The 15,736-nt window shown below is 37.2% G+C and overlaps 1 protein-coding gene across 4 annotated transcripts in view, besides 3 other annotated features; it reads right to left on the bottom strand.

Moving 5' to 3' along the window:
* The window catches only part of PPP4R2 (protein phosphatase 4 regulatory subunit 2), a 72,456-nt gene that overhangs the window by 11,713 nt on the left and 45,007 nt on the right, over nucleotides 1-15,736 (bottom strand). For 2 of the 4 annotated variants that reach the window (NM_001318026.2, NM_174907.4), the window contains exon 3: nucleotides 10,130-10,300. The exons of the other annotated variants lie outside the window; for them this stretch is intronic. In NM_001318026.2, coding sequence (NP_001304955.1) covers nucleotides 10,130-10,300 — 171 coding nt within the window. The remainder of the gene's footprint in view (nucleotides 1-10,129; nucleotides 10,301-15,736) is intronic. 4 annotated transcript variants of the gene reach the window in all.
* Nucleotides 1,631-1,831: a silencer, noted in NCBI's record as "peak4698 fragment used in MPRA reporter construct". NCBI's record gives its function as "represses an SCP1 promoter by STARR-seq MPRAs in K562 erythroleukemia cells {active_cell/tissue: K562}" and the evidence as "EXISTENCE:reporter gene assay evidence [ECO:0000049][PMID:32103011]".
* Nucleotides 5,354-5,648: an enhancer, noted in NCBI's record as "tiled region #10785; HepG2 Activating DNase matched - State 8:EnhW". NCBI's record gives its function as "activates a minimal TATA promoter and a strong SV40 promoter by Sharpr-MPRA in HepG2 cells {active_cell/tissue: HepG2}" and the evidence as "EXISTENCE:reporter gene assay evidence [ECO:0000049][PMID:27701403]".
* Nucleotides 9,077-9,578: an enhancer, noted in NCBI's record as "H3K4me1 hESC enhancer chr3:73097059-73097560 (GRCh37/hg19 assembly coordinates)". NCBI's record gives its function as "activates a minimal SCP1, AML or CMV promoter by ChIP-STARR-seq in primed H9 embryonic stem cells {active_cell/tissue: H9 hESC(primed)}" and the evidence as "EXISTENCE:reporter gene assay evidence [ECO:0000049][PMID:30033119]".

Genomic DNA, 15,736 nt, shown 5'->3' with positions numbered 1-15,736 from the left:
TGCCTGATATTCCAAACATTCAGAAGCAACTAGAAATTCCTCTGGGTTTCTGAGGAAGAATACTTTTTTGCTTTTGAAAATCTACTCAGAGTGAAGTACAATGTCAAAATGAAGAATCCTTTTAAATGGGGAAGTACAAAGCACACCAACAGCGTTACTAAGTATGAAACAATAAGCTTATACATCTTTTGTTTCATTCCTATAAAGACAACCATTAGAAATCTATAGCTAATACACAAAACTAACTCTACTTTAAAAATGTTTAAGCATTTTCCACATGTATAACAAACAGTATTAGTTTCTCAATTGTCTGTCCGTGAAACCCAGTATTATCGTGGATTTCAGATTAGTGGTATAACTCACCTTAGCTCCTCTTCTAGTTCATGGCTCTTCAAACCTTACACACACAACACACCTAAGCTATTTCCTCATTAATCACCCCATAGTGATACTGTCATTAAAATTTATTATTCAAAATATACAAAATAGCACCAACAGTTTGGGTATTCAACAAGTGTTTGGGTATTCAAATAGTACTTAACTGAAAAATACTGTCTAGTCATTATGCTTTTTCTTCCTACTAAAATTCTTTCCCACATTAAAACCTAATGTTTTCTCACTAATTAAAATTAGTTTTAACAGATGAATATTTTAAAACTTCTTGTTTAACAACATGTACACTGAATGCTTTGGCTAATTTTCTTTAGAAATGTAAGTTAAATTGTAGCCAATTATTAATATTTTATGTGTTGTTTAATATTAATACTGCTTTGGGAGGGGGGTATGTGTTTACATAGCAATACCAGCAATGATAAAACGAGTTTAAGTTCTTAGACAATTTCAGAAGCTTTTTTCAAAAGATCCTTATTTCAAAAAGTAAAAGAAGCTTTAAAAGTCATTTTACCAAGTATCCAATAGATGGCACTAAAATGTCACACAACACTTCCTTTTCTCACACGACAGGCTAAATCCCAACCAAACACTTTCTGCAAATCAATGGATCCACTGGAAATATTAGTATGATAAATGAACGTAACAGCATTGAAAGGTCTCTTTACATACAGACTGTACTTTTAAACTTATTCCATAAATATAAGAGCCTATTATAAACTAGAAATACCAACCTTGTTCAACAGCAGTCAAAAGACATGTAAATAATTACAATTACAGTAATAAATAACAACACTGTATAAAAAGTGCCATGGAGACAGAATAAACTGTATGCCAAGCTTAGTAAGCGTGACACTGGGAAAACTTAGTGTGAGGTAGGCCTCTAAAAGGAGGCACAAGAATAAACCAGAAAAACCAGTACAAAATGAAAGCATTTGGTACAAGTATATGAAAGCTCTGCTCTCTGATACTCATCCATTAGACATAGCATACAAAATAGTTTATTCTAACTTCTGAAAATATTAAGGCTTTTCCCACACATACTAAGAAAAGCAAATATAGGGAGAGGAGCGTTAAACACACATGCCACTCATTCTCAATGAAAAGTCTATTCAGAAATCCTTAAATTTGGGGGGAAGTGGTGATCAGATGTTCATTAGCAAAGTTATACTGTAAAATAAAAAACCCTGGGCCAGGCACGGTGGCTCACGCCTGTAATCCCAGGACTTTGGGAAGCCGAAGCAGGCGATCCCCTGAGGTCAGGAGTTCAAGAACCAGCCTGGCCTGTAATCCTAGCTACTCGGGAGGCTGAGGCAAAAGAATTGCTTGAACCTGGGCGGTGGAGGTTGCAAGTTGCAGTGAGTCGAGATTGAGCCACTGCACTCCAGCCTGGGTGATAAGAGTGAGACTGTCTCCAAAAAAAAAAAAGCGTTTGGTTTACTCTGCAATGATATATCATCTGATTTATTCATATTGTAAAATGGAAAACTAAGATGATATAAGGAACTGAAAAAAGGACATGACTAGCTAGCATCTCAAATTTTTTAAAACAGTGCCTACAACATCCAGTAACATTTTTTAAACCCCCCGCCCCACACATTAAGGATCCACCTTTGCTAAATATATATATATATTTTAATACACACACACACACACACACACACACACACACACACACGCTACCCCACTAGGAGACCTTACTCAAAACTGAATTTACCTGAGTCTTCATGGGTCTCATGGGTCTTGTCTGAAAACAAGGGTTCTACAAGTACACTTCAAAGATTATCATGACGACTAAATACGACATAATGTATATGGTATATTAAATCACCTAACAGTGCCTAAAATATTTCAGAAAGTTCAATAAATCTTAGTTCTTATTGTCATCATTCCATCTACTCTTTGATAGAGATTGTGGGAAGGCACACATGGTCCAAAGACCAACAAAACCAAAAGTATAGGTCTGTCTTTAAAAATACTCCCTTTAATTCCAAGGAAAATAACTTACCCTAATTAATAGGACCACACATTTTACCTTATATATCTTAATTTAAATGCAAGCTGTCCCTATTTACTTTTTTTTAAAAGCAGAAGTCTTGTACACCTAAAAGCTATGGAAATTCAAATACCAAGAAAGTTGCTGAATATCAGGGAAAGACATCTTAACATAAAGTAGCAATTCAATGCTATTTTTTAAAAGATAAATTTTAAGTCATAAGGCTAAACACTAAAGAAATAATGTCTTAAGCATGTATTTTAACCTAAATTTCTATAAAAGTACTAAGTTGACAAGGCACTCAAAAAATAAGTGCGCACTTCATTCAGACTCTAAAAAAATCAGTTTAACTACCTTAACTTTAAATTATATAAGCAACTTTTCCACATGAAAAAGACAAAGGAATGTAACATGTAGCACAGAGGCTACTGGAGTAAACAGCTAAAGAAATGACCATAAAAATCTGACATCCTACTAAAAAAAAAGTCAAAACAGTCATTCACTTTTGTTTTACCCATGTATATGTGGATTTTACTGTCTTTTCTGACTAAATGACCACATTAGTGGTGTCTTAGTTAACAGAAATACTGAGTTAAACTTAACTGTCAACATGGAAACTAACAATATCTCTGTTACCAAAGACTAAGTTCATAATTTTGTTTACACCTACAAAGTCTTACAAAAGTCAGAAATACCATTAGAATCCTGTGATACTAGCTTTACTTGAAGCAGTATGTTCTTTCTCTACTCAGGCTTTAATATTTACATAAACATACACATTCATAAATATTTATATTTATGAATTTTGGGTTAAGGAGTGGTGCAGACACTAGTTTACTTACATCATTGGGGTTCCTTATCATTATTAAAAGAGGCGAAATTAGCTGAGCACGGCGGCTCACGCCTGTAATCCCAGCATTTTGGGGGACCGAGGCGGGTGGATCACCTGAGGTCAGAAGTTCGAGACCAGCCTGGCCAACATGGCGAAACCCTGTCTCTACTAAAAATACAAAAATTAGCCGGGCATGGTTGATGCATGCCTGTAATCCCAGCTACTCAGGTGCTTGAGGCAGGAGAATTGTTTAAACCCAGGTAATAGAGCAACACTCTGTCCCCACCAAAAGAAAATTCATACACATATAATCTTATGTCTCAAATCAAATGACAGATTTCGCTTTTTTTTTTTTTTTTGAGATGGTGTCTCGCTCTGTCACCCACGCTGGAGTGCAGTGGCACCATCTCGGCTCACTGCAACCTCTGCCTCCTGGGTTCAAGCAATTCTCTTGCCTCAGCCTCCCGAGTAGCTGGGACTACAGGCGCCTGCCACCACGCCCAGCTAATTTTTTGTATTTTTAGTAGAGACGGGGTTTCACAGTGTTAGCCAGGATGGTCTCCATCTCCTGACCTCATGATCCGCCTGCCTGGGCCTCCCAAAGTGCTGAGATTACAGGTGTGAGCCACCACGCCCAGCTAATTTCGCCTCTTTTAATAATGATAAGGAACCCCAATGATGTAAGTAAACTAATGTCTGCACCACTCCTTGACCCAAAATTAATCTATAGCAATTGTCAAAGCTTTTAATAAAGTTAATCATCTCTTGGAGTTCCTATAGTCTGAACTGTTATTTTATTTGCATCAAATATAACTAGCAAGAAAAAGTTAATTAGGCTTTCTGTTAATTTCAATTTTTAAGTTTATTAAAGAGAGTATCACATCAAGCCATATTACCACTAGACAAGACCAGGTGGGGAATAGTAAGGAGGGATGGTTACAAAGTCATGCTAATTCTCAAGTAATTATTCTAAGAGAAAGAAAGGGGATAAAGAAAAAACAAGTAAGTAGGGGTGGGTGGGTGTGGGTTTGTGTATGTGAGAGAGACAGAAATCTGCCACAAATAAGTACATTTTAACTAATATACTCAACAAACACTGACACAAATAATTAACAGCACAAAAACCTATTTTCCCCAGGCAACTGGGGAGCACAAAAATCAGGAAGCAATAAAGTGAATCAACAGTGTCAGAGAACAAAGTAATAAACGGCTAAGGACCCATTCTCTCAGTCCCTGAATCATCTGGAGCTAACCGTAAAGCAAACAACACACAAACTGAAAATCAAATGTGGGTTGTTTTATTCTACAATCCAGACTTTGGAGTATAAAAGTCTCATATATAACTTTAAAAGATCATGAGCAGTACTCTCAGCTGTGACTGACTGTACCTGCTTAACAGATGATATAAAGATTATTAGGTATCAAAAGTTTTCCACTTTTTCCAGACCTCCTCATAAATATATAGGAACACTATTTTAGTTTACTATTCACAGAGTGAGGAGGCCGACTGCCTACTTTAGAGAGGACTTAGAGGTAACAGCAATGACAAGAAAGGGTCAAGACTTGAGAGATTAACTTACTTTTATATTCATTATTCTTTCATTTTGAAAAATTCAGAGAACATAAAATGGTATCTTTTAAAACTGCCAGGAATGTAACTTACATGCTCTCTATCCCTCAACAAAATGCCTCTTTGTGTATACCATTATAGGAATGAACCATTACCTATTAGCAATTCCTAAATTATATTCATGGTCTCTGTAATAGGAGGAGGATTTTCATAAATGGCCCTGGTTTGAGTAAACCCATATACTCTTTTTTATTATAATTCCAGAGGGCATAAAATGGTCTTTTAATTGACCATTTCATTAAAATTTTTAGTTTCGTTCATTTTAATTTTTGGTGTTTCTCATCTGACAAACTGTAACTTCACTTTTGGAGAGTAGTTATAATCCATCTTCTATGAAATTTTAAAGTTCCAAAGTAATTTTAAAAGACAAGAAAATGACCAAAAAAAAAAAGAAAAGAAAGAAATTAAGCATTCCATTGTGATTCTTCTATGCCTCAATAGACAAAATAGATATAAATATACTTTTATTCTTTTTTTTCTAGTCCCCAGTTATTCAATATTCTTTTCTTTACTCATTCATTCATTTATCCATCCACGCACCTAGTCATTCCATACTTGTCTGTTTAAGAACCTACTATATTCAGGCACTCACTCTTCTAGGCCTTGTTTGGAAAAGACTGTTACCCCAGCTCTCCAGAAGCTTATAGTTCAGGAAATCAAGTAAACAAGTGCATGGACAATTTCCACTTCAAAGAGGGAAAAATCTGTACTTTGGCCGGGCGCAGTGGTTCACGCCTGTAATCCCAGCACTTTGGGAGGCCGAGGTGGGTGGGTCACAAGGTCAGGAGATCGAGACCATCCTGGCTAACAGGGTGAAACCCCATCTCTACTAAAAATACAAAAAATTAGCCGGGCGTGGTGGCGGGTGCCTGTAGTCCCAGCTACTGGGGAGGCTGAGGCAGGAGAATGGCATGAACCCGGGAGGCGGAGGTTGCAATGAGCTGAGATTGAGCCATTGCACTCCAGCCTGGGCAAAGAGCGAGACTCCATCTCGAAAACCAAACAAACAAACAAACTTGTACTTTGGTAATATACTAAAATAATTTTAGAAAGCGGATAATCTTTCTTACGGCAAAATACTAGGAAGCATTTAATATAAAACTTTTACAAACTAAAAGCAAAAACAACAAAAACTTACCAGTAAGAAAATTAGCAAAAGAAAGTCAAAAGAAGATATAAAGGGCAATTCACAGAAAGGCTGTAAGTACACAAAAAGATGTTCCATTTCACTTGCAATCAAAGAAACACAAATACAGACACATATACAGTACCGAAGAATTACAATATCTGCACTTATTACAAAAGAAAGCATCAACAACCACATTTTGCTAAGTCAATTTTGCAGCACTGATAAACTGAAAATTAAGTGTTCATAAGCTAACCTAGCAATTACATTTCTACAAATTAAAAAAAGTAACAATCTGGCCAGGTGCGGTGGCTCATGCCTGTAATCCCAGCACTTTGGGAGGCCAAGGTGGGTGGATCACCTGAGGTCTGGAATTCAAGACCAGCTTGACCAACATGGAGAAACCCCATCTCTACTAAAAATACAAAAATTAGCCGGGTGTGGTGGCGCATGCCAGTAAACGCGGCTACTCGGGAGGCTGAGGCAGGAGAATCGCCTGAACCCAGGAGGGGGAGGATGTGGTGAGCCGAGATCGTTCCATTGCACTCCAGCCTGAGCAGCAAGAGCGAAACTCTGTCTCCAGAAAAAAATAAAAAAAAGGCAACAATCTATACGTATATTCAAAACATGACATTCATCAACAAAAGATACGTGGAAGGATGCTCACTACAAGCACTGCTTGTTAACAGCCAAAAAAATAAATGCCTACCATCAATCAGGACAGGCAAATAAAAACCTATTATTCACATAATAGAAAACAATGTAGCCATTTCAAATAAATAAAAAGATAGCTTTAAATGTACTAATATAGACATGTTGAAGCTTCTCTAAAAGGAAAATACCACTAGCATATAGCATGATTCTACTTTCATTCTTTATGTACTTCTGTAACAGTGGGGATCTTTTTAAAAGCGTGAACATACACCGCTTTTGTAATTTAAAGATTATCTATTACAAATGGGGGGAGGAGTGTATAAGAATGGACAAACCCTCAAACTGGTGGAAAACCAACAAAATGTTACTTCTTAGTAAATATTTTAAAAAACTATATATATATAAAAAACACAAAAATTGAACATTTTGTAAACATGTTTCAACATACCAATATATTAAAATACAGACAAAAAAAGAGTAAATTAAAAATAGAAAAATCTTGATGTATCACTGATTAAATAAGACTTAGATTCTGCCTGCTCAGAGAAAGTGATTCATAAACTGAAAAATCAAATTTAAAAAATGTAAGTTCGGGCCAGGCGCGGTGGCTCAAGCTTGTAATCCCAGCACTTTGGGAGGCTGAGGCAGGTAGATTACTTGAGGTCAGGAGTTCCAGACCAGCCTGGCCAACATGGTAAAACCCCGTCTCTACTAAAACTACAAAACAAATAAACAAACAAACAAAAAAAACATAGCTGGGTGTGGTGATGCACCCTGTAATGCCAGCTACTCGAGAGGTTGAGGCTGGAGAATAGCTTGAACTTGGGAGGCGGAAGTTGCAGTGAGCCCAGATGGTGCCACTGCACTCCAGCCTGGGTGACAAAGACTCCATCTCTAAATAAATAAAATAAAACAAAACAAAACAAAATTTCAAAATACGGTTCAAAAATAAAGTTGTAAAAGAAGAATGCTCAGGCATTTAATGACTGTTCAAATCATTTTCTGAAGTAGGTGAATTACCTCTTTTACAGATTAAGAAATTACAAATATTTAGATTTATGTAATAAATAATACACAATATTAATTTTATTATATTTATATATAATATATAATACATGTATTTGTTTCTAGCCCAACTTAATGTGAATGAACTGAAAATGGTATTTGCTATTACTAATTCAGAATAACAAGTAAATATGCTTACAAAGCAGCAGTATAATTTGACCTGTTTCACCTTAACTTTTATTTTTGAATGACGGCCATAATTTATTGAAATAAAAGACGACTCACTATGTCTAAGTACTATTTATATATATGTACAATTTATAAATAACCCCGAGAAGTATTCTCTTTTTTTTTGAGATGGAGTCTCACTCTGTCACCCAGGCTGAAATGCAGTAGCGAGATCTTGGCTCACTGCAGGCTCTGCCTCCTGGGTTCACCCCATTTTCCTGCCTCAGTCTCCCGAGTAGCTGGGATTATGGGCGTCCGCGACAACGCCCAGCTGATTTTTCTGTATTTTTAGTAGAGACGGGGTTTCACCGTGTTAGCCAGGATGGTCTCAATCTCCTGACCTAGTGATCTGCCCACCTCGGCCTCCCAAAGTGCTGGGATTACAGGCGTGAGCCACCACACCTGGCCCCGAGAAGTATTCTAATCTTGAATGTATTCATTTAGTTCAACAGTAAATCTTATGCAACATGCTTCTAAAATGTATCATGTGGCTATTTCTTGGATAAGTGCCTTTAAAATGTTTTTTTTCCTTTTTCTGAAAAATTTTAAAATATTGATATGGAAATATACACATATTGGTTAAATAATTTCAACAGTCCAACAGGGTGCACAGTGAAAATAGGTCTCCTTCCCATCCCAGGCCCCCAGGGGTAACTATAACTGATGAACCTCAAAGACAAAAGCTATGATTTCTCCCCCACAAAATATTTTTGTAACAGACCCCAAGTCAAGGCCTAAGGGTTTGACATTTCAAGCAAAATTCTTAAACCTAAAAACAGTGGAATATGATATAAAGCAAACCGTTAACTGGATTACACTATCTTATTTCAAAATCCCATGCAATTAAATACCTAAAGAATCAAGCCATTTATGCCATCTAAAAATACAACTGAAACCCTTCAAATACTATCTAATTCTAACTATGAATTCACTGGTTAGAAAAACCACAATTCATTATATTTGGTATTGTTGTTCCACACCCTAAGTTAACGCCAAACTAAATATCGAATAATTCAACTTCACAAACACTTCTTCCCTTCAATAAAGGAAACCGTAAAAATACAAAGTCCTGGCTGGGCGCGGGGGCTCACGCCTGTAATCCCAACACTGTGGGAGGCTGAGGTGGGCGGATCACAAGGTCAGGAGTTGGAGACCAGCCTGGCCAGCATGGTGAAACCCCATCTCTATTAAAAAATAAAAAAATTAGCCGAGCACCGTGGCGCGCACCTGTGGTCCTAGCCTAGCTACCCGGGGGGCTGAGGCAGAATTGCTTGAACCTGGCAGGCGGAGGTTGCGGTGAGCCGAGATCATGCCACTGCACTCCACCCTGGGTGACAGCGAGACTCTGTCTCAAAACAAAACAAAATAAAACAAAAAACAAAGTCCTACAAAAATAGAATTTAAAATGACAGAGTATGAGACACAGTAACATTTCTTTAAAAATGAGTACTGCCGGGCGTGGTGGCTCACGCCTGTAATTCCAGCACTTTGGGAGGCCGAGGCAGGCGGATCATGAGGTCAGGAGATCGAGACCATCCTGGCTAACATGGTGAAACCCTGTCTCTACTAAAAATACAAAAATTAGCCGGGTGTGGTGGCATGCGCCTACAGTCTCAGTTACTCGCGAAGCTGAGGGAGGAGAATTGCTTGAACCCAGGAGACAGAGACTGCAGCGAGCCAAGATCACGCCACTGTATTCCAGCCTAGGTGACAGAGCGAGACACCTTCTCAAAAACAAACAAAACAAAACAAAAAAACCGGGGAGTTTTACTTTTGTACAGAATATCTTTTTAGTGTTTTTAATGTTTTACAAGCGGCCAAAAATGGTTACTTGTAACTAACAAGCAAGCCGTTACTTAGGAGAGAAATGATGACTCCAAAAAAAGTCTAAACAAAAACTCACTAAAATACTTCCATAAATTAGTATTTCGTTTTAAAAGAAATGTGATTTCTCAATGATATAAAGGTTCTATATAAAGTATGAAGACATAACACCAAATATAAAACAGGAAAGAAAAACCATTAAAATGTTTCCTGATAAATGACTGTTTCCACTGATACCTATAAAAAGGTGGTTCAAGTTTTTTAAGAGGCTACAAATATTTTAAATAGTTGTAAGCTAAAAATCATCAACTACTACATGTCACTAGAAACAAGGAATTTATTCTAATGGATAATCAATCATCAACCAGACACATCAAAACTAAAAGAAAAATCTATTCATCTTCTGCTAAAAATTAAATCTTTAAAACAGTATTAAGTGCATACCCATTAAATCCAGTGACAATTTTCAGTATTCTTTCCTTCATTTCATCAAAGGGAATATATTCGACATTAGGGTTGGGAGGACCTCTTGGCTCAGGAGCTGAAGTTCTGAAATCATCCATCACTTTCTCCAGTTTGAAAATAAAATAGCCTTTAAATTGGGACCACTGAATCCTATAAGCAAAAAATTAAAAAATATATAATACCATGTAGCTTCACAATTCTTGAACACAAAACACAAATATAAAATATACTATGACACTAATACTAACAAAATTAAGATGTGAATAATTAGTAATGAGAATGCCGTCATTGAAGAGCACACATCATGCCTCATTTATCACAAGCTCCATCCTGATGCTATCCAACTCCCAACCCAAACAAAACCCAGATCTCTCATTTAGATCTTTTAAATGAACTACCTCTGCCTGAAAGTCTATGGTGTGTTAGGTCCTATTCTTAGTATGTTTAAAATAATATTTTGACTCTTTCACTCATAACAAACCTAACCAGGTGGGCATTAGTTACACTATCCTATTAAGTCAGAATGAATCCATACCTTAATCATCCAAGTTACAATGTTTGCATGGACTAGTAAAATTTGTCTATTATCTACTAAATAACAAAATAAACTTTACTTTCTCCTTTTTTTTCCCCTTTCAGTTAATATCTTCAGGCTCTTTTGTCACTTAAGAGACAAAAGGCATGTACCTATGATTAAGGCACATAATCACAGGTTCTATCCAACCAGTACTTGCACAATAAAAATACATAATTTGCTTAGGTACTTTTCACATCTATTCATTTATCAAATTAACATAAACACCTTTTTATCCCTCTTTCCTCACATTTCACCAGTAATATAAAAGGAAATTTTGTGAGGATACCTGCCTGAATAGTGTAAATTCCAGGAGACACGGGAGTCAGGAATGCTAACCATTTCCTCAGGCAGACAGTACTACCATTAGTGACAGCAGATCAATCTCTTTACACAGGTTGACTACTTAAACAAATTTACACAAATTAACGGGAGCCCATCTGTAATCACCTTCCATCCCATGCAGCAACCCTATAAACTAGGGTAGCAGTTTTCAAATTGTGGTCCAAGAGGTCAAAGCTATTGTCAAAAGAATAAGGGCTGACTAGTTCACTGTTAATGTGTGCACTGATGGTATAAAAGCAAGGTGGATAAAACTGATAATCCATGTAGCAAGAGTCAGGACAGCAGCACCAAACTGTATTACTAGCTGTAGCAGAAGCCAGAATTTTCACAAACTCGTAATTTTAAAAATCTGTTCCACTTAAAGTGTAAAAGATATAAAAATTACTAATTTCATTAAATCCCAACCCTTGAATACATCTTTTACATATTCTGTGTAACAAAATGAGAAACAGGTATTAAAAAAATTATGCTGCATATCAAAGAGGTATGAGATTCTCAAAGAACAATACCTTTATTTAGACCGCTGCCAGCTGAACTAGCTATTTTTCATAGAACAGCATTTTAACCTGAAAGGACTGCCACACAAATAAAGCTTATTTAGATTAGCAGACTGGGTGTGATGGCTCACACCTGTAAACCCAGCAGGCGGATCACCTGAGGTCAGGAGTTCGAGATCAGCCTGGCCAACATGGTGAAACCCTGTCTTTACTAAAAATACAAAAATTAGCCAGGCGGGGTGGTGCATGCCTGTAATCCCAGCTACACAGGAGGCTGAGGCAAGGAGAATCACTTGAACTGAGGAGGTGGAGGTTGTAGTGAGCTGAGGATTGCATCACTGCACGCCAGCCCGGGCGATGAGCAAGACTCCATTTCCAAAAAAAAAAAAAAAATTAGGAGAATGTGGTAGACATTTTCTCAAAAATAAATAAAGTGAACCTGTCATTTCAAGATAAATAACTGACAGTATTTGTTACCAATGATAAAAATTTGAACTTCTAAGCAAAAAACTAAAAGTCTGGACAATTTTTATTCTTCACTGTGAGCTTGAAAGCTTCCTGATATAGTCCCAAAATATTCTGAAGGCAACCAGTGTCGACATAAAAATATTATACGAGGCCAGGTGTGGTGGCTCACGCCTGTAATCCCAGCACTTTGGGAAGCCGAGACAGGAAGATCACTTGGGCCCAGGAGTTGGAAGCCAGCCTGGGCAAACAGCAATACTCCGTCTCTACAAAATAATTAATTACTAATTAATTTAAATTAGGCATGGTGGTATGCACCTGTAGTCCCAGCTACTCAAGAGGCCGAGGCAACAGGATTGCTTGAGCCCAGGAGGTAGAGGCTGCAGTAAGCCAAGATCACACCACTGGAATCCAGCCTGAGCGACAGAGCAAGACCCTGTCTCTTAAAGATACTGTGTGATACCAAAAGCACAAGCAACAAAATTGATAAATTGAATTACATCAAAATTTAAAATTTTGTGCATCAAAGGACACTATCAACAGAGCAGAAAGTCAAATCGTGAAATGGGAGAAAATATTTGCAAATCTTTTATCTGATAAGGGGTTAATATCCAGATTATATAAAGAACACCTACAACTTAACAAAAAAGATGACCCAATTTAAAAATGGGCAAAGTACTTAAATACGCACTTCTCCAAAGAAGATATACAAATAGCAAACACACAAGATGCTTAACACCATTAATCTTGGGGAAATGTAAATCCAAATCACAATACCACTTTACACCCATTAGGGTTGGCTATTATCTAAAAAACAAGTGAACAAGTATTGGCTGGCCAAGGATGTAGAGAAACTGAAACTTTCCTTTCTGAGACAGTGTCACTCCGTTGCCAGGGCTGGAGAGTGGTGGTGCAACCTCGGCTCACTGCAACCTCTGCCTCCTGGGTTCAAGCAATTCTCCTGCTTCAGCCTCCCAAGTAGCTAGGATTACAGGTGCCTACCACTACGTCCAGCTAACTTTTTGTATTTTTAGTAGAGACGGGGTTTCACCATGTTGGCCAGGCTGGTCTCGAACTCCTGACCTCGTGATCAGCCCACCTCAGCCTCCCAAAGTGCGTGAGCCACTGCCCCCAGCCAAGAAACCAAAACTCTTGTGCATTGCTGGTAGGAACAATGCAGTCACTGTGGAAAGCAGTTTGGTTGCTCCAAAAACAACAACAACAACAACAACAAAAATTATGAAACCACCCTATGATTCAGGAATCCCATTTCTCCATAGATCCCCAAAAGGTGAAAACAACCCAAATGTGCCAACAGCACATGAATGGATAAGCAAAATGTGAGAGATAAACACACACACACACACGAATATTATCCAGTCTTTAATCTGAAAGAAATTCTGACATGGATTAAGCTTGATGGCATTATGCAAAGTGAAATAAGCCAGACACAAAAAGAACGACTATTGTATGATTCCACTTATATGAGCTATCAAGAATAGTCAATTTAGAGTCGTCTGGAACTGTGGGGAGGAAGGTGAAGGGACTTATTCTTTAATGTGTACAATGTTTCAAGTTTGTGTAAATGAAAAGTTCTGCAGATGGATGATAGTGATGGTAACATACATCGTGAGTGTACTTACTGGCAATAAATTGTACACTTCAAATAGTTAAAATGGTAAGGTTTACATTAGGTATATTTCAATAGGTATTTCCCCACAAAGAAGATACACAAATGGCCAATAAGCATATGAAAAGATGCTCAGCATTATTATCTATTAGAGAAATGCAAATCAAAACCACCCATTTCACACCCACTAGGGTGGCTATAATCAAAAAGATGAATAATGAACGAGTGCTGGGTTGATGTGGGGAAACTGGTAATGTCATACATTACTGGTGGGAAAGTAAAATGGTGTAGTTGCTTTGGAAAGTACTTGGGCAGTTCCTCAGAAAGGTAAATGCAGATTTGTAATCCAACAATTCCATTCTATTAAATGAGTGAATTATGTATTTTAAAAGTATGCTATTACTTTTAAAAATGGTGAGGATAATTAAAAGCTATTTGCATGATTAGTTTTTTCCACCTTTCCCTATCCTATTTTAGAAAGGGGAATTTGAGGTTTAACAAGCAGAATTTTTAATTTTTAATTTCACAGAATTTTTGATATGCCTAATATTAATCCTTATTAATGTACAATTGCTTTTGGTTCCTAAAATTTATCTTTAAATTTTATGAGACTCTCCACATGCACTTCATACTTAAACATACCAGGGCAAGTTATACTGAAATAGGACGCTTATACTTTTCATTTCTTAAATTAATAATTTTTTGTGCTTTTAATAATCACCAATTCATAGCGTGAGTTCAGATTTCCATATGCACAGAGTCTTGTGGTGTGTTTTAATCTCATCTTTCCATTAACCATCTGACATGACATGTTTGCGGTCCAAAAAAAGCACATTAATGGGAACAGCCAGACAAGAGGTATGGGATCCCAGGTAATGGAAATTCTGAAGAGATTCAAAGACTCTATGGCACTAACTCATGAGACAGAAATTAAGCCCCATAAATTGACATGAATTATGAACACACTGTAGTCTTAACTTTCAAATAAATCAAGCAGTTACTCTAAATTAGATCAATACGATGCAATTCAAGTGATACTATTCCACATATATATATGGGGAGGGCATTCATAAAATGTGAAAGATACAGCTTTTTGATGGAGGACAACTATTTGATAAAAACAAAAACAGAAAATGCTTCCCTAAAAGTTATATAATTCAGGGGCCAGGCGCGGTGGCTCACGGATGTAATCCCAGCACTTTGGGAGGCCGAGGCGGGCTTATCACAAGGTCAAGAGACCAAGACCATCCTGGCCAACATGGTGAAATCCTGTCTCTACTAAAAATACAAAAATTAGCTGGGTGTGGTGGCACAAACCTGTATTCCCAGCTACTCGGGAGGCTGAGACAGGAGAATTGTTTGAACCCAGGAGGCGGAGGTTGCAGTGAGCCAAGATTGCAGCACCGCACTCCAGCCTGGGTGACACAGCGAGACTCCATCTCAAAAAAAAAAAAAAAAAAAAAGAAATTATATTCAGGCACAAAAAACAGGCCATGCGCAAATCAACTAAAAACTTGGCAACAAAAACAATTTCTTAGGAATGTACACTCACTGGATGAGTAGAAATGAGAACAAAAAAACCCTTGGCTTTCAATATGAAAATCAAATTATTCTAAAAAGATGCTCATAAGACATAAACACATTTTCAACTTCAGAACAAATTTCTCCACATAAAATCCCCTCCAATAAAATACATACTCAAAATTTAAATCTACTTTACTGAAATTAACTCAATAATGTACTGAAATTAATCACCATTAACTAAGTAGCTTCACCTCCCTTCACTTCCTTTTTCTTCTCCCCTTCCATTTTCCCATTTTTGCAGTTTCTCCTGTAGGAAAGTACAATTCATATCTCTAATAAATATATCCTGGTGCTAGATTTTACATTGACCTTTTTTCTCCATAGGAACTCACAAGTTCATATTCAAACATGTTTCTCTCACAATTCTCTAAAGGCTAAAGGTATTTTCCAGAGGCTTAAGGACAGAAAATCCATCTTTTCTTTTCCCAAGTGGTGCTACAACAATTTAGTGGCCAGCGGCCAACCACCTTAACGTACTGGTTCCTAACATT

This window comes from Homo sapiens, chromosome 3 (assembly GCF_000001405.40).
Source record: "Homo sapiens chromosome 3, GRCh38.p14 Primary Assembly".
Taxonomy (NCBI): Eukaryota; Metazoa; Chordata; class Mammalia; order Primates; family Hominidae; genus Homo; species Homo sapiens.
Note: the sequence above shows the minus strand (reverse complement) of the source record. Positions and strands in the feature narration are given on the sequence as shown.